Below are 23,170 nucleotides of genomic sequence, written 5' to 3' on the forward strand. Positions count from 1 at the left end.
GGGAGGCTGGTGGGGGTATCTGTGAATAGTGCTGAAGTAGAAAAGCAAAGCTCAAAGAATCCAGTCTTCTTTGAAAGAGGTCTGAAGACTCTGGAGTCCCAGACTCATGATATCCGGCCCCTCTGGATGGGGATCCCACTGAGACTGTACTCTGGGACCCCGCTGGTATCTTCTAGGGACAGTTTGTGGCCAGGGGACAGGAAGTGGTGCCATGGGGAGCTAGTGCTGTGGAACGCGGTACAAGGGCTGGCCCTGTCCAATGGAGTGGGGCCTGTGTGGGGCCTGAGCAGCCATCCATTCTGGCTGAGATGGGGGAGCTTGACCAGGTGGTGACTGAGGGACAGGCTGGTCTCTTCAGGAGGCAAAGGGGGCCCGAGGCTAGGGGCTGGCTGGCAGGGATGGACGAGGCAGGGGAGGGGCTGGAAAGAGATGAGGGGGCAAAGGTCAGGGTGCTCGAGCTCCTCCGCACTAGGGCCCTTTGCCCTGAGTGTTGCCAATCTGGACAACACTCTAGGAGCCTCTCCTGACTCCCACAGATCTGCCCCGCCCAGGGGAAAGTTCTTCAGGGAGACAGCTCCTGGGAATGGCGGAGAGAGCCAGCACTTCTACTGGCAAGGCTCCTTATCTAGGGCTCGCCCTGGGTCCAGTGGGTCAGACTGCCCGGGGCCTCTCTGTTAGACTCCATGCCAGCAGCCGGTGGCTCCTTCAGAGCAGCCGTCAAGTCTGTGGACCCCTCCGGGTGGGCTGGCCTTCTGACAGTGTGCTTGGTTGCCTGTCTTGGCCAAGTTGAAAGAGACCACTGGTTCAGGGACGGCTGCTCATGGTCCTGCTGGACGGCCAGGGAAAGACCAGGGCTGGAAGTTCAGACAGGGGCCGGAGTGGCCAGGGATGCGGGGCCAGGCCAGGTGGTTCCCAGCATCTCTCTGCTGTGTGGTGTGGGCTCCCTCGGTGGCTGATTCCTTGCTAGGTTCTGGCAGGGGAGGACTTGGAGGGAGGCTGGGATGTTAGGAGAGAAGTGGGGGCTTCCTGCTGCCTTTTCCAGGCCTTGCCATTGTCTCTCCAGAATCAGCAGCAGCAGCTGGAGATGAGGGTCCCAGTGCCCTTTCTTTAGGGTGACCACTGTCTCCCAGCACCCCCACACTGGTCTGAGCACTGGCAAGACAGAGACAGCTTCATCTATAGGTTTGAGCATCAGCATCGCTGCCCCTCTGTCCCTGATTCTGGGGTTGGGCAGCAGGCACTGTGAGCACTTATTATTCTCTGGATTGTTCAGTGACCCCTTTCTGTTCATCGAGCCTTCCAACGACTGTGTCAACAAGTCCTTGTATTGAATCCCCTCTGTGTGAAGCACCTATCATGGTTTCTGTTTCCTACTGGACCGTGACAGGCACAGCGCCTTTACAGATTTCCTTGGCTGTTCTCCACCGCCCTCATTACGCATCAGGCTCCATAGGCAGGGGCCATGTCTGTCTTGTTTATTTTGTATCGCCAGTGCTTGGCAGAGAGAGAGTAGGTGCTCAGCTTGAATGAATACTTGGAATTTAAGTGGGAGACTTAAGTCTTTATGTACCCTGACTTTATATATTTGTTAACTTCCTGGTCCTAGGCAGTCCTAATCTGAACAAGAAAATGCGTCACCCATCAATCCAAGCCCTCCAAGAATGTCAAGCTCCTCCTTGAATCATCTTGTCCTGACACCACCTGGCTCCCAGGGCCTCTGGGCAGCTGTGGCTGTGCAGCCCCTGCTTTTCACCTGTCTCCTGTCCTGGAGTGCTCGTTGCATCTTCAGTGTGTTAGTTGCACCACTCCTTTAAGAGAGGCTCATGCCTTACCTTATCCCCTCAATGACTGTCTTATTTTTGTATGCCCCTAAGAGCAGAGCATGGGGCTAGAGTGGCAGTAGTGTTTCAATAAACACTTGTTGACTTACAATTGTTACTTGTCTTACAATGCGCTTTCTAGTAAGAGGTCCAATGACCGCCAATGCTAAAGTAGTATGGGCTGGCATTATGGAGCACTCACTCACCATGTCCTGACATTTCCTATGAAGTCCACATTCAAACCCCACAGCTGTCTTATAGGATCCTTGTTTCTCTTTATTGTTACTCTTTCCATTGTTGATGAAACTGCGGCTGAGAGTGATGAAGTAACCTGCCCAGGGTCTCACAGCAATGAAGAAGCAGAGCCAGACTTTAGGCCCCATCCTGACTGACTCTATTTTACTGAACCTGAATACACAGTGCCCTCCCAGAGTAGGGGCTGGGCCTGGCCAAGGGGCCAAGGTGGCCACAGGCAGTGTGGGGAGGTTCACATCCAACTCCTGTCCCATGGCCCTTTTCATCTTCTCTCCTGGGAGGTCTTGCTCTTCCCCAGCCCAAGGCCTTCCCTTTCCTCATGTTCTCCCGTCCTTGTTTTCCAGGGGACATCCTTGGCCATTATTCCAACGGGACCCCATGGTCCCACGGGCACAGAGGTTGGTGGCTCCCATGTCCTGCAGGAGAACAGAAGAGAAGGGTGCTGCCCTGTGGGAGCCAGACCAAGGACAGGAAGACGCCACATGGCAGTGAGGGGAGTGAAGGGAGGGACAGAGACAGAAAGGCTGAAGCATGAAAAGAAAATTATAAAATAAACTGGGGTAAATTGAGTTAACTTTGCTGCTCCTGGAAGTATGGAGAACTGACAGGGGAGCAGAGGAAAGCAAGGGAGATGATTTCTCCTCCTGGAAAACTCAACTTCTAAGGCACAGTTGGAAGGAAGGGGAAGATGCCTGCCTTAAGGTCAGGCCTAAGAGGAGCCCTAATTTCTTCTCCCAGCCCCACCCATTCACTTTCAGTCCACAGAGAGTTGGCCCTAGGGGGCTCCCGGGAAGCCCCTGGCTTCAGTGAGCTTCAGACAGGCTCTTCCATATAAACAGAGTAGAAGCAGCAGCAGGTTGGAATGAAGGTGGTACTGGCCATTTGGGTAAGACATACAATGAACTTGCCGAACTGGAAGAGCTCAGGATGAACTTCTAAGGGCTCAGAGGATTTATCTCTGACTAATGTGCTGGTGAGTTAAGCAGCTGAAAGGAAAACATCTAACATCAAACAAAGAGTTTGCATGGTCTCCGCTTTTAACTTTCTGAACCTCTAGAAATCTTAGCTGTTTGTTTTAAACTAGTCAAAAATCTCATAAGTCAACTAGTGACAAGGTTGACAGTTAAAATAATTTATTGGAGTCATAGTCATAAAGCATTTCCTTGTTCACAGTCACCCTGGGTGAGCTTGCAGCTTCCACCCTTCGGCTTATAAAATTCAGCTTATAAAAAAGCTGATGAGTCACCTCGTATCATACAGGTAATGGCATGGTCAGCCCCCAGCACCCGCAGACAGCTGGCTCCAGAGCAGGGCACGGGTGTGAGCCGCACCCACCCCAGGCTCCCCCAAGGCACACACACTTGCTACATGAAGGAGAGAGAAAATAAATGGATGTCTGTTCTCATCTTAAAATTCACCCATTCAAACCTTTTTTGCACTTGGAGATTATGTTTCAAAATTAATATTGTCTTTAAATAAGAAATCTAAATTCACCAGTAAACTACATAAAACATGAACTTTACTGATAAAGTTTCATCAATCACTAGTGGGGATGTAAAACACAGAAGTTATTCTCCAGCCACTCTGGAAAATAGTTTGTCAGTTTCTTAATAAAGCGTACACTTACTACACCACCCAGCAATCATACGGGGGCATTTTCCCTGGAGAACTGAGCATTACCCCCACACAAAAGCCTGCACACAAGTTTTCACAGCAGCTTTATTTGGAACGGCCAAGAACTGGAAACAGGCAAACTGTTTCTCAATAGGTGGATGGTTAAACAAATGACGGCAAAGCCAGACCACGGAACGCTACTTAGCAGTAAGAAGGAAGGAGCTATTGACATAGGCCACAGCTTGGATGGTGCTCAAGAGCATTAGGCTGAGTGGAAGAAGCCAACCTCAAAGACCCATATACTGTGTGATTTCATGTATTTATATAACTTTCTGGAAATAACAAAATTGTAGGAATGAAATTTGTGGTTTTCAGGGGTTTGTTCAGGAGGGGGTGAGGGAGGGCAGGGTAGGGGGTGCACCCTGAAAGGGTAGCACGAGGGAGCTCTTTGTGGTGAGTGGCAGTCCTGTGCCTTGATGCAGTGGTGATTCCCTGAATCTACACATGTGAGAAAAGTGGAGCCCCCAAGTACCAAGGGCAGCTTCTGGGCTCTGATACTGTACTACTGTTAGGAAAGATGCAGCCACCGGGGGAAGCTGGGGAGGAGGATAGCCTGGGGCAAGTTTTCAAACCCATCTTGCCCTCCACCTAGAAACAGACTTGGGGCTGCTGGGGGGTACACAGAGGGAGTGAGACTGGCCATTTGGTTTGTGTGGGAGCTGGGTGAGGCCTGTAACTGCCAGCTTTCCCCCACTTCCCTGACAACCTGCATGACCCAGCAGAAGCAGCCATAATCTTCCTAAGTGCACAACTCCAGTAACTTGGGAATCTCACCTTTACCCCTCACAGCAGCAACAGCAAGACCCACCCAAGGAGAGTCTGAGCTCATACATGCCTAGCCCTGCCCCTATCTGATGGTCCTTCCCTATCCACTCTGGTGGAAGACAAAGGGCATATAATCTTGGGAGTTCTAGGGCTCCACCCAACACTGGTCCCTCTCCATACTACTACAGCTGCTGCTTTTTGGAAAGTGTCACCTCCTGGCAGGGGGCCAACCAGCACAAAAATAGACCATTAAACCACCAAAGCTAAAGACCCTCACAGAGTCCACTGCACCCTCTGCCACCTCCACCAGAACAGGCACTGATATCCATGGCTGAGAGACCCATAGACATTCCACATGACAGTACTCTGTGCAGACAATCCAGAGTACCAGCCCAGAGCCAGGTAAATTCGCTGGGTGGCTAGATCCAGAAGAGAGACAACAATCACTGCAGTTTGGCTCACAGGAAGCCACATCCATAGGAAAAGGGGAAGAATACTACATCAGGGGAACACCCTGTAGGACAAAAGAATCTGAACAGCCTTCAGCCCTAGACCTTCACTCTGACAGAGCCTATGCAAATGAGAAGGAACCAGAAAACCAGCCCTGGTAATATGACGAAACAAGGATCTTCAATACCCCCCAAAATCACACTAGTTCACCAGTAATGGATCCAAACCAAGAAGAAATCCCTGATTCACCTGAAAAAGAATTCAAGAGATTAGTTATTAAGCTAATCAGGGAGGGACCAGAAAAATGTGAAGCCCAATGCAAAGGAAGTCCAAAAAATGATACAAGAAGTGAAGGGAGAAATATTCATGGAAATAGATAGCTTAAAGAAAAAACAGTCAAAAATTCAGGAAACTTTGGACACACTTTTAGAAATGTGAAATACTCTGGGAAATCTCAGCAATTGAATTTAACAAGTGGAAGAAAGAAATTCAGAGCTCAAAGACAAGGTCTTTGAATTATTAACCCAATCCAACAAAGACAAAGAAAAAAAAAAAGAAAATATGAGCAAAGCCTCCAAGAAGTCTGGGTTTATGTTAAACGACCAAGCCTAAGAATAACTGGCGTACCTGAGGAAGAAGAGAATTCTAAAAGCCTGGAAAACATATTTGGAGGAATGATCAAGGAAAACTTTCCTGACCTTGTGAGAGACCTAGACAGCCAAATATAAGAAGCACAAAGAACACCTGGGAAATTCATCACAAAAAGATCTTTGCCTAGGCACATTGTCATCAGGTTATCCAAAGTTAAGACGAAGAAAAGGCTCTTAAGAGCTGTGAGACAAAAGCACCAGGTAATCTATAAAGGAAAAGCTATCAGATTAGCAGCAGATTTCTCAGCAGAAACCCTACAACCTAGAAGAGACTGCGGACCTATCTTCAGCCTCCTCAAACAAAACAATTATCAGCCAAGAATTTCATATCTAGCAAAACTAAGCATCATATATGGAGGAAGGATATAGTCGTTTTCAGACAAACAAATGCTGAGAGAATTTGCCATTACCAAAACACCACTACAACAACTGCTAAAAGAAGCTCTAAATCTTGAAACAAATCCTGGAAACACATCAAAACAGAACCTCTTTAAAGCATAAATCACAAAGGACCTATAAAACAAAAATACAAATTAAAAAGCAAAAACATAACCAAAGTAGACAGGCAACAAAGAGCATGATGAATGCAATGGTACCTCACATTCCAATACTAACATTGAATGTAAATGGCCTAAATGATCCACTTAAAAGACACAAAACCACAGAATGGATAAGAACTCACCAACCCTCTGCTGCCTTCAGGAGACTCACCTAACACATAAGGACTCAAATAAACTTAAAGTAAAAGGGTGGAAAAAGGTACTTCATGCAAATGGACACCAAAAGCAAGCAGGGGTAGCTATTCTTATATCAGATAAAACAAACTTTAAAGCATTATCAGTTAAAAGAGACAAAGAGGGACAGTATATAACGGTAAAAGGCCTTGTCCGACAGAAAAATTTCACAATCCTAAACATACATGCTGCTAACACTGGAGGTCCCAAATTTATAAAACAATTACTAATAGACCTAAGAAATGAGATAGAAAGCAACACAATAATAGTGGGGGACTTCAATACTCCACTGACAGCACTAGACAGGCCATCATGACAGAAAGTCAATGAAGAAACAATGGATTTAAACTACCTTGGAACAAACGGACTTAACAGAAATGAAACAGGAGATATTACAACTGACAGAACATTTCATCCAACAACTGCAGAATACACATTCTATACAACAGCACATGGAACTTTCTCTAAGATAGACCATATGCTAGACCATAAAATGAGACTTGATAAATTTAAGAAAATTGAAATTATATCAAGCACTCTGTCAGACCACAGTAGAATAAAACTGGAAATCAACTCCAAAAGGAATCTTCAAAACCATTCAAATACATGGAAATTAAATAACCTGCTTCTGAAAGCATTGAGTCAAAAACAAAATCAAGAAGGAAATTTAAAAATTCTTCAAACTGAATGACAATAATGACACAACTTATCAAAACCTCTGGTATATAGCAAAGGCAGTGTTAAGAGGAAAGTTCATAGCCCTAAACACCTACATCAAAAAGTCTGAAAGAGCACAAACAGAAAATCTAAGGTCACACCTCAAGGAACTAGAGAATCAAGAACAAACCAAATCCTAACCCGCAGAAGAAAGGAAATAACCAAGATCAGAGCAGAACTAAATGAAATTGAAACCAAAAAAACCCATGAAAGATAAATGAAATAAAAAGCTGTTTCTTTGAAAAGATAAATAAAATTAATAGACCATTAGCAAGATTAACCAAGGAAAGAAGAGAGAAAATCCAAATAACCTCACTAAGAAACGAAACAGGAGATATTACAACTGACACCACCAAAATACAAAAGATCATTCAAGGCTGCTAGGAACACCTTTACACACATAAACTAGAAAACCTAGAGGAGAAGGATAAATTCCTGGAAAAATACAACCCTCCTAGCTTAAATCAGGAAGAATTAGATACACTAAACAGATCAATAACAAGCTGCAAGATTGAAATGGTAATTTAAAAATTACCAACAAAAAAAGTCCAAGAACGGATGGATTCGCACCAGAATTCTACCAGACATTCAAAGAAGAATTGGTACCAATCCTTTTGACATTATTCCACAAGATAGAGAATGAAGGAACCCTCCCTAATTCATTCTATGAAGCCAGCATCACCCTAATATCAAAACCAGGAAAGGACGTAACCAAAAAAGAAAACTACAGACTGATGTCTTTGATGAACATAGATGCTAAAATCCTTAACAAAATACTAGCTAACTGAATCCAACAATGTATCAAAAAGATAACCCACCATGATCAAGTGAGTTTCATACCAGAGATGCAAGGATGGTTTAACATATGCAAGTCAATAAATGTGATACACCACATAAACAGAATTTAAAACAAAAATCACATGATCATTTCAATAGATGCAGAAAAAACATTTGAAAAAATCCAGCATTGCTTTATTGTCAAAACTCTCAGCAAAATCGGCATACAAGGGACATATCTTAATGTAATAAAAGCCATCTATGACAAACCCACAGCCAACGTAATACTGAATGGCGAAAAGTTGAAAGCATTCCCTCTGAGAACTGAAACAAGACAAGGATGCCCACTCTCACCACTCCTCTTCACCATAGTACTGGAAGTCCTAGCCAGAGCAATCAGACAAGAGAAAGAAATAAAGGGCATCCAAATCAGTAAAGAGGAAGTCAAACTGTCACTGTTTGCTGACGATATGATCGTTTAACTTGAAAACTCTAAGGACTCTTCCAGAAAGCTCCTAGAACTGATAAAAGAATTCAGCAAAAGTTTCTGGATACAAGATTAATGTACACAAATCAGTAGCTTTTCTATACACCAACAGCGACCAAGCAGAGAATCAAATCAAGAGCTCAACCCCTTTCATGATAGCTGCAAAAAATAATAATAGTAATAATAAAATACTTAGGAATATACATAACAAAGGAGTTGAAAGACCTCTACAAGGAAAACTATAAAACACTGCTGAAAGAAATCACAGATGACACAAACAAACGGAAACACATCTCATGCTCATGGATGGGTAGAATCAATGTTGTGAAAATAACCATATTGCCAAAAGCAATCTACAAATTCAATGCAATCCCCATCAGAATACCACCATCATTCTTCACAGAATTAGAAAAAAAAATTCTAAAATTCATATGGAACAAAAAAGAGCCCACATAACCAAAGCAAGACTAAGCAAAAAGAACAAATCTGGAGGCATCACACTACCTGATTTCAAACTATACTATAAGGCCATAGTCACCAAAACAGCATGATACTGGTATAAAAATAGGCACATAGACCAACGGAACAGAATAGAGAACCCAGAAATAAACCCAAATACTTACAGCCAACTGATCTTTGACAAAGCAAACAAAAACATAATGTGGGGAAAGGACATCCTTTTGAATAAATGGTGCTGGGATAATTGGCTACCCACATGTAGGGGATTGAAACTGGATCCTCATCTCTCACCTTATACAAAAACCAACTCAAGATGGATTAAGGACTTAAACTTAAGACCTGAAATTACAAAAATTCTAGAAGATAACATTGGCAAAACCCTTCTAGACATTGGCTTAGGCAAGGATTTCATGACCAAGAACCCAAGAGCAAATGCAATGAAAGCAAAGATAAATAGCTGGGACCTAATTAAACTACAGAGCTTTTGCACAGCAAAAGGAACAGACAGCAGAGTAAACAGATAACCCACAGAGTGGGAGAAAATCTTCGCAATCTGTACATCTGACAAAGGTCTAATATTCAGAATCTACAAGGAAGTCAAACAAATCAGTAAGAAAAAAACAAACAATCCCATCAAAAAGTGGGCCAAGGACATGAATAGACAATTCTCAAAAGAAGATATACAAATGGCCAACAAACATGAAAAAATGCTCAACATCACTAATGATCAGGGAAATGGAAATTAAAACCACATTGTGAAACCACCTTACTCCTGCAAGAATGGCCATAATCAAAAAATCAAAAAAAAAATAGATGTTGGTGTGGATGTGGTGAACAGGAAACACTTCTACCCTTCTGGTGGGAATGTAAACTAGTACATCCACTATGGAAAACAGTGTGGAGTTTCCTTAAAGAACTAAAAGTAGAACTACCATTTGATCCAGCAATCACACTACTCAGTATCAATCCAGAGGAAAAGAAGTCATTATTCAAAAAAGATACTTGCACACACATGTTTATAGCAGCACAATTCACAATTGTGAAATTGTGTAACCAACTCAAATGCCCATCAATCAATGGGTAGATAAAGAAACTGTGATATATATATATATGTATATATATAAATATATACATATATATGATGGAATACTATGCAGCCACAAAAAGGAATGAATTAACAGCATTCGCACTGACCTGGATGAGCTCGGAGACTATGATTCTAAGTGAAGTAACTCAGGAATGGAAAACCAAACATCGTATGTTCTCACTGATATGTGGGAGCTAAGCTATAAGGACACAAAGGCATAAGAATGATACAGTGGACTTTGGGGACTTGGGGAGAAGAGTGGGAGAGGAGTGAGGGATAAAAGACTACAAATATGGGCCAGGCACGGTGGCTCACGCCTGTAATCTCAGCACTTTGGGAGGCCGAGGCAGGCGGATCACGAGGTCAGGAGTTAGACCATCCTGGCTAACACAGTGAAACCCCGTCTCTACTAAAAATACAAAAAAAAAATTAGCTGGGCATGGTGGGGGCACCTGTAGTCCCAGCTACTCGGGAGGCTGAGGCAGGAGAATGGCATGAACCCGGGAGGTGGAGCTTGCAGTGAGCCAAGATCGCGCCACTGCACTCCAGCCTGGACGACAGCGAGACTCTGTCTCAAAAAAAAAAAAAAAAAAAAAAAAAGACTACAAATGTAGTGCAGTGTATACATGGATGATGAGTGCACCAAAATCTTACAAATCACCACTAAAGAACTTACTAATGTAACCAAATACCACCTGTACCCCAATAATTTATGGAAAAATAAATTTTTCAAAAGCACAAAAAAAGAAAAAAACCTAATCAGTACTCTTCAGAAGTGTCAAGATAAGGACCCAGATTTTCCCAAATTAAAGGAGATGAAGGAGATACGGCAACTAAGTGCCATGTGGGATCCTGGACCAGAAAAAGGACATTAGTGAGAAAATTAGCAAAACTGGAGTAAGGTTTATAGAGTACTTGATAGCACAGTATCAGTGTTAGTTTCCTGATTTCAAGAGTTGTACCACGGAAGATGCAGGCATTACCAGCAGCTGAGGGAAGAGTACACAGAACTTTCTCTACTATTATTGCAGCTTTACTGTAAATCTCACGTTACTTAACAGTACAAATAAATGAAGAAAATTGGGCCAATGTGAATTTTGATTGTCATTGAGCCCCTCACCCCCCACAACACGTAAGGCCCCAGAGCCCAACACCAGCGTGCACTTTGCTCTTCCAGGAGTTTCACTGGCAGGAGCAGGGCAGGTGCGGCCAACATGACCTCTCATGTTTCTCACCCTGGGTGCTGTCCTGGTTCCAGAAACTCCGTGCCTCTAGCCTCCTTCCAGGACTTCTCCCCTGGCCTCTAGGCCTTTCCCTCTCTTTCCCCCCAGCCTGTAAATGCCTGTTCTTTGAGGTCCAACTCTTGGTGGCAGGCCTGGACCCCTCCTTGGCCTGGAGAGTTCAGATGGTCCCTCCTTGCTGAGGCCACCATCCACTTGTTGGGAGGAAATGCTCATGAGTCTCTTCCCGGCAGACAGGAAACCACCAGGAGGCAGTGCCCTGTCACCAGGGGCTTGCAGGACTGACATGAACCACAGGCTCAATAAAAAGAGGCAGAGTCAACCAGTACCCCAGCCACCCATGCAGCTGCTCCAAGGTGAGGGGCACACCCAGGGCCTGGCACGTAGGACTCATCAGAGCACGGTTATGTCATCAGTCTGGCAGGATGCCCACGCTGTGCTGGGGATGGTAGCCTTGGCAGAAACCTGCCTCTTAGGTGGGGTTTCAGCTGGAGCCACTCAGATCCTAGGCCCACCCTGCCTGATTCTCTTTCTGGTCGCCATCAATGGCTAACCCGTTCGCCAGTTTGCCTAAAAGTGGCTTGAGGGGGCCCAACTTTGCAAGCAGAAGACGAGAATGAGAAGGGCTGAAAAGTAGATGCACTTTCTATCTTTTCCCCCCTGCTCAGGGACAGCACTGCCAAATTCAGGGCAGGTAAGAAAATACCACCCACAAGCTAGATACTTCAGAAGGTGCTGGAAAAAGAAAACACTCCTTTGCCTTGATTGGACCCCAGGCTTGACTGTGCTCCTCCGTGAAGAGGATGTGGTACCAGCCAGTTCCGAGGGAACTTGTGCAGTGCGGAACGCTGCATACGCACAGCTCTGCAGATGGGAGCAGGCAGGATCCCCAGGGATCAGGGCCACGACTCAGTCGTAGGGCGCCCCAGAGAGTAACACAGCGACAGGTTCTCATTTGCAACCAGGGTGCCGCACACGACTGTTTTATGGCAGATGTTGCCATAGCTACCTGGTGTGGGAGACCCCACAAAAGTCAAAGTTCAAAGTCAGCGGACGTGACAATTAAGAAAACACTGGAAGACCTACTCTCAGAGGGAAACACAGTCTCCTCACTTCAAACCAGAAAGGCACAAATAGTTGGACAAAAGAAGCCGCGTAATTAAAATTCATGTGCAACATCTCCCTGGGAAGCCTGGATATTTTAGCGACGTCCCCCCAGGCCTCCACACTCAAGTGGGTTTTGTTTTGGAGGGAGGAACCCCCTTGGCGGCATAAGACGGGGCACCGAGTGGCATCTGCCTCTTGAGTACAGCTGCGCCCCGCTGTGCGCCCGGTGGGAGGCTGGCAGCCACCGCAGCCCCTGTGCTCGCTCCCCGCTCTCGGTCCGGTCTGGGTCTCTCTCGGCGCGGTCCGGTCTGGGTCCGAGGCCGGTCTCCCCCCCCCTCTCTGCAGGTGGCCCCTGTGCTTGCTGCCCCTCTCTCTTCTCGGTCCGGTCTGGGTCTCTCTCTTCTCGGTCCGGTCTGGGTCCGAGGCCGGTCTCCCCCTCCCTCTCTGCAGGTGGCCCGGGTCGGGGGTGCCGCACTCACCAGCTCGGGCAGGAAGAAGGCGAAAGGGATGGTGAGGAACAGCGCGACCCCCGAGGGCACGTCGGACGGGGCGTAGCTGGTGGCGGGCGGGTCGGGCGAGGCCATGCTGTCAGCCCCTGCCGGGTGCTCCGCGGCAGCTCGCCCGCGCGCAGCCTGTCAAATATCACCTCCTGCCCGACACACCCATCGGACGTCGCCTGGGAGGGAAAAAAAAAAAAAACGTTCCAGCCGAGCAGGTCCTTCCACTCGCTGCAGCCAGCAGATCCTCAGTGGGCGGCCCAGCGGCATCGGATGGCTCTGCCTGGCCGGCGGGGGGCACAGCGCTGGTGCAGGAGGGAGCAGAGCGGGAGTCTCCTCCTAGACCTTTCCAGCTAAGGAATCTTTGACCCCCGGAGCATGTTATTCCAGGGGATGCCAGCGACAGCCACTCCCCTGGGCCCAGAGTGTAGGCCCAAGCTGCTTGGCTACGAGGGCTGCGTACTGAGGACCAACAATGAGCCAAGCTATCTGCAGACAGCCCGGGTGCCCACCACGGCCTGCACGTGGCTGTTTTGCCCTTTTCCAAGTGAGGAGACTGAGAATCAGTGAGGTCAAGTCAAGACCACAGAGCTGGTTACTAACAATGCTGGGTCTTGCCCAGCTCCCTCCTTTTCCACTCTTGGGGACAGCTCTCAGTCCCCAGCCTCCCCTGGGAGGAGCAGCCCTCCCTTCCAGCTCATGCCCCTGGGACTTGGTGTTTCCTTCTTTTTCTGGATCCCTTTCCATGGTCCTCCACTCCTCTTTTCCTCATGGGGCAGATGAAGGCCCCCCAGTCTCTGGGAGAGGACCACACCGGCAGGCACCAGAGAAGGGCTGGGCTGGCTGGCTGCTGCCTCTAGTGGACAACCTCCTTCCTTCCCTGGCCTTCCTTCCAGCCAGTGCCTTGCCCCTAACTGGGCTTGAGACCAAGAAGTTTCTTCCTGACTCCTAGGCAAGTCAGGGAGCTGAATGCAGGGCTGTGACCCAGAGGCAAGCAACTCCTTTCACACCAAATACAAGTCCCAAAGGCTGAACCATTTTCCCCTCCACCTTTGAATTGGCGAACCTTCATTTTCCCGACCCGCCCTGAAACAGTCTGCTCAGGATGCTCCAGGTTAGGGTCCCTTCTTCCTGCCCCCTGCTGCTCCCTGGTGTGGAGAGCATGTGGGGAAGATTGTGTGAGGGCTGGAGTAATTAGAAGAGGCCATGTCTTGATCTCATTAGCAGAAACGGTGAATGCCAGGTCCTGCCCTCAGGGCCACAGGTGGGGAGACCAGCCAGCTTGGCCTTTGCCTGGTCTGGGGAGAGCCAAGGGAGAGAGGAGTTTGGACAAATGAAGCTAAGACCAAAGGCATTGCAAAGAAAGGCAATGAACCCCCCAGTGGATCTCAAACCAGACTGATCATCCCTTTTTCCCAGGCTACGGAAACTAGGAAGTAAGGGAGACCCTAATCCCACCTGCCAACCCCAGTCTCACCTACACCACCTTGTTTACAGGATTAATCCAAGCAAAGGAGAGATTTCTCCATGAATCCCACATCTTGCCACCTCTCTTAAAGGTTGCAAATAAGCACTGTGCCACTCTTACAGGCTGTAGGATACCTTTGACTTGCCCATGGACAACATGGCATAGTAGGAAAAGTTTAAGTAAGAAGAAAAACAACCTTCTTAGGCTCATATCTATGAAATGGAGAAAATAATACAACCCATAACCCCTTAGTCTCTTAAGCTGAGAGGCCCTGAGCCATTTCCACCTTCTGAAGCAATTAGTATATTAAGAAATGAAGATATGCCTTGGTCTTCTGGCTAAAGACCAGGGTTTTCATTTTCCTTCTCTGCTGTGCATCTCTTCTGACTGGGTCTATCTTCAGGACCAAAGCAATGTGTGTGTGTGTGTGTGTGTGTGTGTGTGTGTGTGTGAGAGAGAGAGAGAGAGAGAGAGAGAGAGAGAAACACAAATGTGAAAATTATTCCCCCCATGCTTTTAGGATCATGGTTCCTCTGATCAGAGACAAAGGTTCCCCTTTCTCAGAGTTCCAGGTACCTGCCTGGCTGCTACTTCCATTGCCACCACCACTGTCACGAGATTGCACAGGGGCTAAGGAAGGAAAGAATAAACAAACAAACAAACAAAAAACAGAGATTTTCTACACTCTCTCTGACTGTTTGGGGCTCTCTTTCCCATTCCTCAGACCAGAAACATGGATTCTTTTGGAGATGTCTTTGTCTGCATCCTGTGTACAGTTCTGGGTTTCAGGTGGTCTCTGACGCTGGCTGACAGGTACCAGAGGAAAGAAAATGGGAAACTCACCAACAGCTTAGTAGTGTTTTGAATTCTGGTTTCCTTCCCAAATATTCCTGCTCCTTTTTTTTTTTTTCTAGAATCCTCAGTTAGCTTCTCCATGCATTCTGTCCAGGGCTGTTAATTGCATTTCATGAAAGGAAGAGGAGGAGTATCCTTCTCTACTTGACCAGAGCCCAAATAGCAACATCCTGCTTAACTCTGCAAGCACTTTTCACTACCCAAGATTTCCCTGATTGATTAATTTGCCTATTGTTTGTCTCCCTGCCCCTGTCCCTCTCTAGGATGTGGGCTTAAGGAGAGCCAAAACTTTGTTCATGTGGTGAACCACAGCCATGTCCACCATCTTGAATACTGTCTGATACACAAAAGGTACTCAATAAATGTTTTTAAATGATTGAAACAGTCATGAAAACAGTCATAAAGACTTTGGAGACAACTGCTTCTCTCTTTTTTTGATTCCTATTTATTAAACTCTTTTCCCACTAAGAAATTGCTTTATCTATATTTCAGAAACAATTTACTAGTTGCATGAAAAAGAAGAGAGAAGCCAGAAGAAATCCAGAGATACTTGGGGGGAAAGAATAGACAGTTGTATCCATTGGGATTCTTTCAATAACAAAAGTTAGAAAAACCCATTCCAAATGGCTTTAGTGATGAAAGGAACGTATTACTTTAGGAAGTGAGAAGCTAAGAGGTAATAATGGCTTCGGGTGAGACTTCATCCAGTGACTTGAACAATGCCACTCAAGGTGGAGGTGACGTTACCAAGAGAGAAGTATATGGAGGCTGAGCAGCAGAAACACCAGATGTCCACTATAGTAGCCTCCCACTGTAGAAATAGGAGCAGAGCTCTCCCCTTTTCTGCTGCAAGAACACACATGTCCCACTGGCTCTCGCCTGCTAGACACAACTAGATTGCAACTATTATTTCTACAAATCAAGGTCTCTTTAACTCTCAAATGGGGTAGATAGAATGCACACACTGATAGACTCAGGAAGATGCTGTGATTAATGTTCGTAGCCATGAGGCAGAATTGAGTCTGGCTTCTTGTGTCTCTGGAGTTGGGCAAGTACAGAACAGTTGCCCGGAAAGAGGAAGGACTCAATGGGATAATGTCTGGGTCATCCAGAGATTCCTACCTGGAGAAGAGCTCAGAAAGCATGGAGACCTTTTTATTCCCCAAAATGGCCTCTTCGAAAGGACACAGTTCTGCAAAGTTAATCTTTGCTGGCAAAGTCAGATACAAATGAGCAGGTTAAGGTCCAGTCTGTCTTACAGAGTATCAGAAAAGGGCTAAATGACAGGCACACTATCAAAGTCCCAAATGTGAGCTGTATTCCATTAATGAGTTCTGTTTTATATTGCTGCACACAGACCTGCACGCCTCATTCAGTATCAGTCATCACTGAGCAGAACATCCTCGACCTCCATTTTCCTGCCTATGAGACAGTATAACCTATAGACTTTCACTTGCCATTCACTTACTATTTTTCTGAGACAAGGTTTCCCTGTTGCCCAGGCTGGAGTGCAGTGGCATGATCACAGCTCACTGCAGGCTTAACCTCCTGGGCTCAAGTAATCCTCCAACTCAGCCTCCTGAGTAGCTGGAACTACAGACCTGCACCACCATACCCGGCTAATTTTTGTATAGATGGGGTCTCATCATGTTGCCTAGGCTAGTCTCGCATGCCAGGGCTCAAGCACCCTGCCTGCCTTGGCCTCCCAAAGGTGTGAGCAACTGTGCCTGGCCCATTCACTTATCTTTATACCCATCCCTCTTTATCCAAATTGACTTGGTTACTGCATTCAAATATCAGAATTCAGAGAGCAAGTTTGAGTTTTGAGGGATACAGTATTACCAAATCCACGTGTCCTTGAGTTTCAGAGAGTAAATGTGGGAGTTCAAATAGTGAGGGATTCATTTGAAAAGGTATTTGAATCTAACTGGTCCCCAACAACAGACAGTGGGGTTGGGAGAGGGAGAGTGAGGATAGGAAGGAATGCCTGTACACTTACCATTGACTTCATGCCTGCCACGGGGCCACTAACAGCCCCAACCATAGTACTGTTGGAATTAGTTTTTGTGTTTGGCTGATTACTGTCCACCTCATGCATTGTAAGGACAGAGATCTTGCCAGGACTGTTCTCACTGTATCTTCAAAGCTCAGTGCTGTGCCTGGAACATGGCAGGTGCTCAACACTTGTTGAGTAAATGATGAATGGATAATTGTAACACTTAGATGCAAAGTGCCCTAAGTAAGGTTCTTTCTCTGCCTCTTTGTTTTGAGGAAACAGATCACAGCAGCTAGGTGACAGCTGTCTTTGATCACCTCCACACCCCAAGAAAGCCTCCCAACTTAGAATGCTTCACGCAAGAGGAAGCTGAGGCAGTTCACAGCAAAGGATATCCTATAATGCTGTAAATTGACAAAGCCCTCAACTGGCAGAGGACACTGCTGGCTTCCTCTGTTAAACTGATAGTTTCCCAACTGCTACTGGGTTGGCAAGTCAAACTTGCTCCATTTGTACACAGGGTTATGTATGTCAACTGGTTTTATGTGAGTTGCTCTGGCCTTGCGCATTAGATCACAAACACTGAAGACAGAGACTATACCTGCTCTTTAATATCTGCCTCTGCCCCTAGACTTTCATTCCAAGCACCCAGGCAAGCGAGTTGCAACATTTTTCACCTCTGCAGACCTGATGGATATGACACTCAACCAATTAAGAGGTTGGGAGGGTGGGGAGGAGTGAGCCATGTAGTTCACAGTTCAGACTCCCCGCCCTGGCCGCCCTCCCATGGTTCGGGTGTGGTGAGTCCCCCTGGCCTTGGAGGTAGGCACCACACGTGTGGTCACTCGGCAAAGACCTGCTGTTCACCCTGCTGCTGCCCGCCCCCCACCACCATGACTCTTACAATTAATTCAGTGAGTTGCTAAAGTCACACTCCTTGAGACAGACCCACGAGGACTCATTTCCAGGATGTTTTTGGCTCCTTGACAACCTTTTCCGTTGTGGAAGCCAGTAAGTGGCATTTAAAGTCACAGAGATTTTGTTGTTTGAAAAAAAAAAAAAGATTCCACTGATTGAAGAGAAGGTGGAGTCTCTTAATAGCAGAAATGCCCACACCCCTGGGTCTCTCCCTTCCGTTATGTACCTCACTTTCTGGCCTAAGCTTCACTTAAGCTTTTTCTCTGGTGTCCCTATGATTTCCTAATGTGTCAGAAACTATGAAGTTGTCCATATTTGTCAGCTCATGACACATTCTCAAATGAACGTGGAAGACAGTCTTGGAAAATGCATTCTAATAAAAAGCCTTCTCTTCCTTCATGTTGTACATGCACTGAAAGAAATTCACTAGCATTTTCTTTCACTCAAAATGCCCCACCCCTGGCTTAACGCTAAGAATAAGCCAAATGCTTAAAAAAAATAAATAAAAAGATGGCCAAGCATGGTGGCTCTGAAATCCTAGCACTTTGGGAGACTGAGGCAGGAGAATTGCTTGAGTCCAAGAGTTCGAGACCACCCTGGGCAACATAGTGAGACCCTGTTTCTACAATAAAAAACACAAAAATTAGCCAAGCATGATGGCACGTGTGTGTGCTCTCAGCTACTCAGGAGGCTGAGGTAGGAGATCACCTAAGCCCGCGGAAGTTGAGGCTGTAGTGAACTGTGACTGCACCACTGCACTACAGCCTAGGTGACAGAAATAAATAAATAAATAAAAATAAATAAATAATAATAAATAATAAATGCCTCAAAAATAAATAAATAAAAATAAAAAGGTGGAGCTTAGAAATTATAAATCAATAATAAATAAATAAATGCCCAAAAAATAAATAAAAATAAAAAATAAAAAGGTGGAGCTTAGAAATTAAAAGTCATTTCTACAGAGAAATGACTTTCACAGTGAGGAGTGATATGGGCTCATGTTCTTTCAAAAACAGGACTGCAGGGGACTAAGAGTAAGAGGAGGCAACTCAGTAACAGAGTAGCAAAAAGTCTCTGTGCACACTTACCACCTCCATTTGAAAGGCAAAGCCCTCTCCCTGGGAGCAGGAGCTGGGGAGGGCCGCGGTGCTAGAGAAGTGGGGGCACCACTTTGTAAGTGTGCCCAGGCAGCTGATGGGCAAAAGGAAGGTGTTTGCCACACTCAGCCTTGTATTGTGTGGTTGAGGGCAGAAGGGCACGCACAGGGAGAGATCTCCTGAAATGAGTTCCTGGAGAATGAAATCTCTTTTCCAAGGCCCAGTTCTCACTTGTCACATTTGTGGCTGGGAACACTTTCTTTCTTTTTTTTTTTTTTTTTTTTTTTTTGAGATGGAGTTTCACTCTTGTTGCCTAGGCTGGAGTGCAATGGCACGATCTTGGCTCACTGCAACCTCCACCTCCCAGGTTCAAACAATTCTTCTACCTCAGCCTCCCAAGTAGCTGGGATTACAGGCACGCACTACCACGCCCAGCTAATTTTGTGTTTTTAGTACAGATAGTGTTGGCCAGGCTGGTCTCAAACTCCTGACCTCAGGTGATCCACCCACCTCGGCCTCCCAAAGTGTTGGGATTACAGGCGTGAGCCACCGCGCCTGGCCTGGAAACACCTTCATACCATGTTAATTTCTGAGACTGGGGCTCAAGTTAAATTTAGGTTAAGGGTTTAGGATAAGTTAGCTAAGATAGCCCAGAACTTTCATAATATGACAGATCTCTAAAAATAAATGGCTCTTTTAAGGCAGCATGCCATCAAAAAAAAGTACCTCTAATGGGATTCTAATTATTTAGGTTAAACTTTTCCTCATATTTTATTTTCACATGGAATCCTAAAAGGTTCGCCCCGATAAGGCAGAACATCTTAGGTTGTAGAAAATTATACATGGTATCTTTACTGGGAATATTAGCTGTGCCACTTATTAGCTGTGACCTTAGGCAAATTACTTCACTTATCTGGCCTGTTTCTTCGGCGGTAATAAAAAACAACAGTACCTATCTCCTACAGTAGGTGTGAGGATTAACTGGGCTAATGAGAAATGCTCAGACACACAGTAGGTGCTCAATTAACGCAGGCTGCTACTGTTTATCACTAAAAGGAAAGGCTTGGGACATTATTTTACCAGCAGTCACAGGTTTATCTGAGATGCAACAAGGCCTGAAAGGGTGAGTCGACTCCACTCTCCAGTGCCTGAAAGTTTCTTTTTGTGCTTTTGACAGAGCACTTATTTTCTTGATTTGAAAAGGCAAAAGCGACTCTGTTTTTGTACTTAATTAGGGGTAAATCACATTCAAGTATCAGACTGAATTAAGTGATACAACTTTCTCAAATGGATCACTTTAACTTCCTCTTCATTGAACAAGATAAATTTTATTAACACTCATAAATTTAAATATTTTGGATACTAGACCTTTATCAGTTAGATGATTTGCAAATATGTTTTCCCATTCTGTAGGTTGTTTTTTTCACTTTCTTGAATAATCATAAATTTAGTTTTTGACAAAATCTTGCTTTTATAGAAATCTATACCATTAACTTAAGTAGCTGTTTTTGAAAAAATAAATACTGTTTAAATTTAGATATAACAGTATTCCTTATAAAAATTTATTTTATGGTTTTAAAAAATATTTAAATTATTGTATAAACATTTCTTTAAAAATATGGTCTGTAGAAAGAAAAGAGTAAAACCTAAGTTGTAAAGTGACAGTGATTTTTGGTTCCATCATTTTATTCACGTAATCGTGGAGGATCCATCTGATTCCGTGGGAAGCTGAGGGCTAGAGGCTGCCACTGTCACACTGCATTCTTTCTCATTTCACCCAAGAAGTCATAGGTCTGCTCTGAAAGGTCAAAAGGTTCATGAACTCCGTCTGGTGACAGCAGAGCTTGGAGGGCGCCCTGGTTTTCTTGGTTTTGCTTAAGGAAGTCAGTGATAACTTTCCACCGTGCAGTCTCAGTCTCTTCTTCTGCCCACCTGAATGGGGGTAGGCGTGTGGAGTGGAGAAGTGGGAGCACGCAGTCATGGTAAACCAGGAGAAACGTGGACTTCAGGAACTCTTTGTCTCTCTGGGAAAACACCACCCCCACAAATAACATTGTTATTTTTAAAGTGTTAAATTCTGTGAACTCTATTAACTAAAAGCCACCTAAGAGGTAGGATGGAGGGTGCCATTAGTGCCTGGCAGGTATCGGCTCTGAGCCAGCTGCTCAGGCAGGACATGGCACTTCAGAAGTGGAAGTGAGCAGAGTTACACAGAGTACAGTGGAGCAGTTCTCCCTGAGAGCCTCTACGTGGCTCCATGAGACCAGGGTGTCTCCTAAGCTCCATGGAGGGTGTCTCACACATTCTGTCAAGGTATTGCAGTCTAATTTTGGTGACACCAGTGTGGTTAGGGGTAAATATAACTAAAACAATGCCAAGTCAGCTGAACCTACTTACTGACAGCATATCAGAGGTAACTGTCATGTTATCTAAGATAATTGTAGCAGGTGTTCTGCATAGGATCCAGAGTTGTTGGCTTATTTCCAGCAATGCCTGGGATGGAGGTCGAGGGGTCCTTTGGTGATGAGGATGTCAGACCCTTCACAGATAAGAATGGTGCAGCATCAGCTGTACCCATGTCAAGCCCCGATGCCCACAGGCCATGGTGGGAATCTCAGAGAGCACAGCAAGTTGAGGGCAGAGCTGTCCACAGGCAGCAGAGTCTACACAGAGATATCACCCATCCCACCACACATGTCCACATAAGGGCAATGTCTACAGGCCCAAGGCTGCTGTACTAGAATAGCACTAAGCCTGGCAGTTTTGGCAAAGTCACATGTATGTAGATGGTACTGATCAAATGGAGGCTGAAATAAGGATACAATGTATAAATTGTTTCCTAATTTTTAGGGTTTTCAGCTCATTTGTTACTTCATTTTCCTTGTAGATAATGAATACTTTAGATCAGGACTGGTAAAGTATGGACTGTGGGCCAAATGTGGACTCTCACCTCTTTTCATAAATAAAGTTTTATAGGAAAACAGTCACATTTGGTCATTTACATATTGTCTGTGGCTGCTTTTGTGTTACAACACCAGAGCTGAGTAGTGTGACAGAGACCACAAGACCTGAAAAGCCAAGAAGATTTTCCATCTATAGCCCTTCCCATTTGCCAAATCCTGGATGAGAGCAGTCAAACCACGACTCACCGATTAAAGCAAGTTCGGATTGGTAATTACCATGATTTTATAGCAAGGTAAGCAGGAGCAATGCATTGTTTTCAATATATGGTACAGCTCAGGCCATTTTTTTTTCCCTTCTCTTGGTGATACAGGCTTTGAGAGCTAGAGAAGTTTTTTAAAAATAAAAGAAATTTGATACACAACTGAGAGACTTTGGCTTAGAAACTTCCCCTTTATTTAAATAAAACTCAGTAATCTGAAATGGCTGTCTTGAACAAGTATTCCTTCTCACATTAGCTAACGATCATGCGTAACCCTCTTGGAATGTGTTTTTGCAGCCATAATGAAACAGTTTCCCTGGTTAAGAGGGATTATGACTATGGCTACTTTTGCTAAAAAAGAGACATGATTAGAATAGGCAAGCAAACACCAGGTACTGCAAATATGGAGTTCAGTGTGGAGACTCATATTTTACCTTCTCTGATCTTTTTAATGTGCTTTCTTTTCCAGCCCACGAACTCTAAAGAGCAAACAGAAATATTATGTTAGTCCAAGTAGTAACAAGTCCTTGCAACACTTATGCAAATTTACTCTGTAAATAAACTTATGGACAGGGTTAAAAATGCTGTACAGATTCTATACAAGCAAGAAGTGAATCTGTAATTAGGAATCTATTGCAAATGACCCAGCACCAGAATGACCAGGCAGATGTATCTGTGAAAAATGCCGTAGAAGCCCATGATAATTATAAATCAAAACTAACTTAAGAATAGAATCAGCGAAACACTAACACATCCATGAAAACTATACAACCACAGCACCTGAATAATAAAATAGTATTAAGCTTTCCAAGTAAGACAGTAATGAAAATAGAAAACACTGCCAAATACCAAACTTTTCTACAATTCTCTCTGTCATGATGATGACAATGGTCAGAATGAGACAGACTGAAGTACAATTTTGTGAGTAAATATTTCTAATCTGTCCACAGGGC

At 45.1% G+C, this 23,170-nt stretch overlaps 2 protein-coding genes across 13 annotated transcripts in view, besides 2 other annotated features; both read right to left on the reverse strand.

Annotated features, from left to right (window-relative positions):
• Positions 1 to 15,154, reverse strand: part of MALL (mal, T cell differentiation protein like) — a 34,270-nt gene extending 19,116 nt beyond the window's left edge. For 2 of the 3 annotated variants that reach the window (NM_001371560.1, NM_005434.5), the window contains exon 1: positions 12,703 to 12,837. In NM_001371560.1, the coding sequence (NP_001358489.1) occupies positions 12,703 to 12,807 (105 nt within the window). In that variant the 5' untranslated portion in view covers positions 12,808 to 12,837. Of the gene's footprint in view, positions 1 to 12,702; positions 12,838 to 15,031 lie in introns of those variants that run through there. The other variant, NM_001371559.1, reaches the window with a different exon arrangement.
• Positions 2,493 to 3,692: an enhancer, noted in NCBI's record as "BRD4-independent group 4 enhancer chr2:110863055-110864254 (GRCh37/hg19 assembly coordinates)". NCBI's record gives its function as "activates an origin of replication core promoter dependent on BRD2, P300/CBP, MED14 and CDK7 cofactors, and independent of BRD4, by STARR-seq in HCT116 cells {active_cell/tissue: HCT116}" and the evidence as "EXISTENCE:reporter gene assay evidence [ECO:0000049][PMID:35650434]".
• Positions 12,017 to 12,824: an enhancer, noted in NCBI's record as "H3K27ac-H3K4me1 hESC enhancer chr2:110872579-110873386 (GRCh37/hg19 assembly coordinates)". NCBI's record gives its function as "activates a minimal SCP1, AML or CMV promoter by ChIP-STARR-seq in primed H9 embryonic stem cells {active_cell/tissue: H9 hESC(primed)}" and the evidence as "EXISTENCE:reporter gene assay evidence [ECO:0000049][PMID:30033119]".
• Positions 20,363 to 23,170, reverse strand: part of NPHP1 (nephrocystin 1) — an 81,666-nt gene continuing 78,858 nt past the window's right edge. For 5 of the 10 annotated variants that reach the window (NM_001128179.3, NM_001374256.1, NM_001128178.3 and 2 more), the window contains 2 exons: positions 22,652 to 22,696; positions 20,363 to 21,078 (listed from right to left, as the gene is read on the reverse strand). In NM_001128179.3, coding sequence (NP_001121651.1) covers positions 20,806 to 21,078; positions 22,652 to 22,696 — 318 coding nt within the window. In that variant the 3' untranslated portion in view covers positions 20,363 to 20,805. Of the gene's footprint in view, positions 21,079 to 21,451; positions 21,594 to 22,203; positions 22,339 to 22,651; positions 22,697 to 23,170 lie in introns of all 10 variants that reach the window. The other 5 variants (XM_005263677.2, XM_005263676.2, XM_006712551.2 and 2 more) reach the window with 3 other exon arrangements.

Source organism: Homo sapiens, chromosome 2, assembly GCF_000001405.40.
Source record: "Homo sapiens chromosome 2, GRCh38.p14 Primary Assembly".
Lineage (NCBI taxonomy): Eukaryota > Metazoa > Chordata > Mammalia > Primates > Hominidae > Homo > Homo sapiens.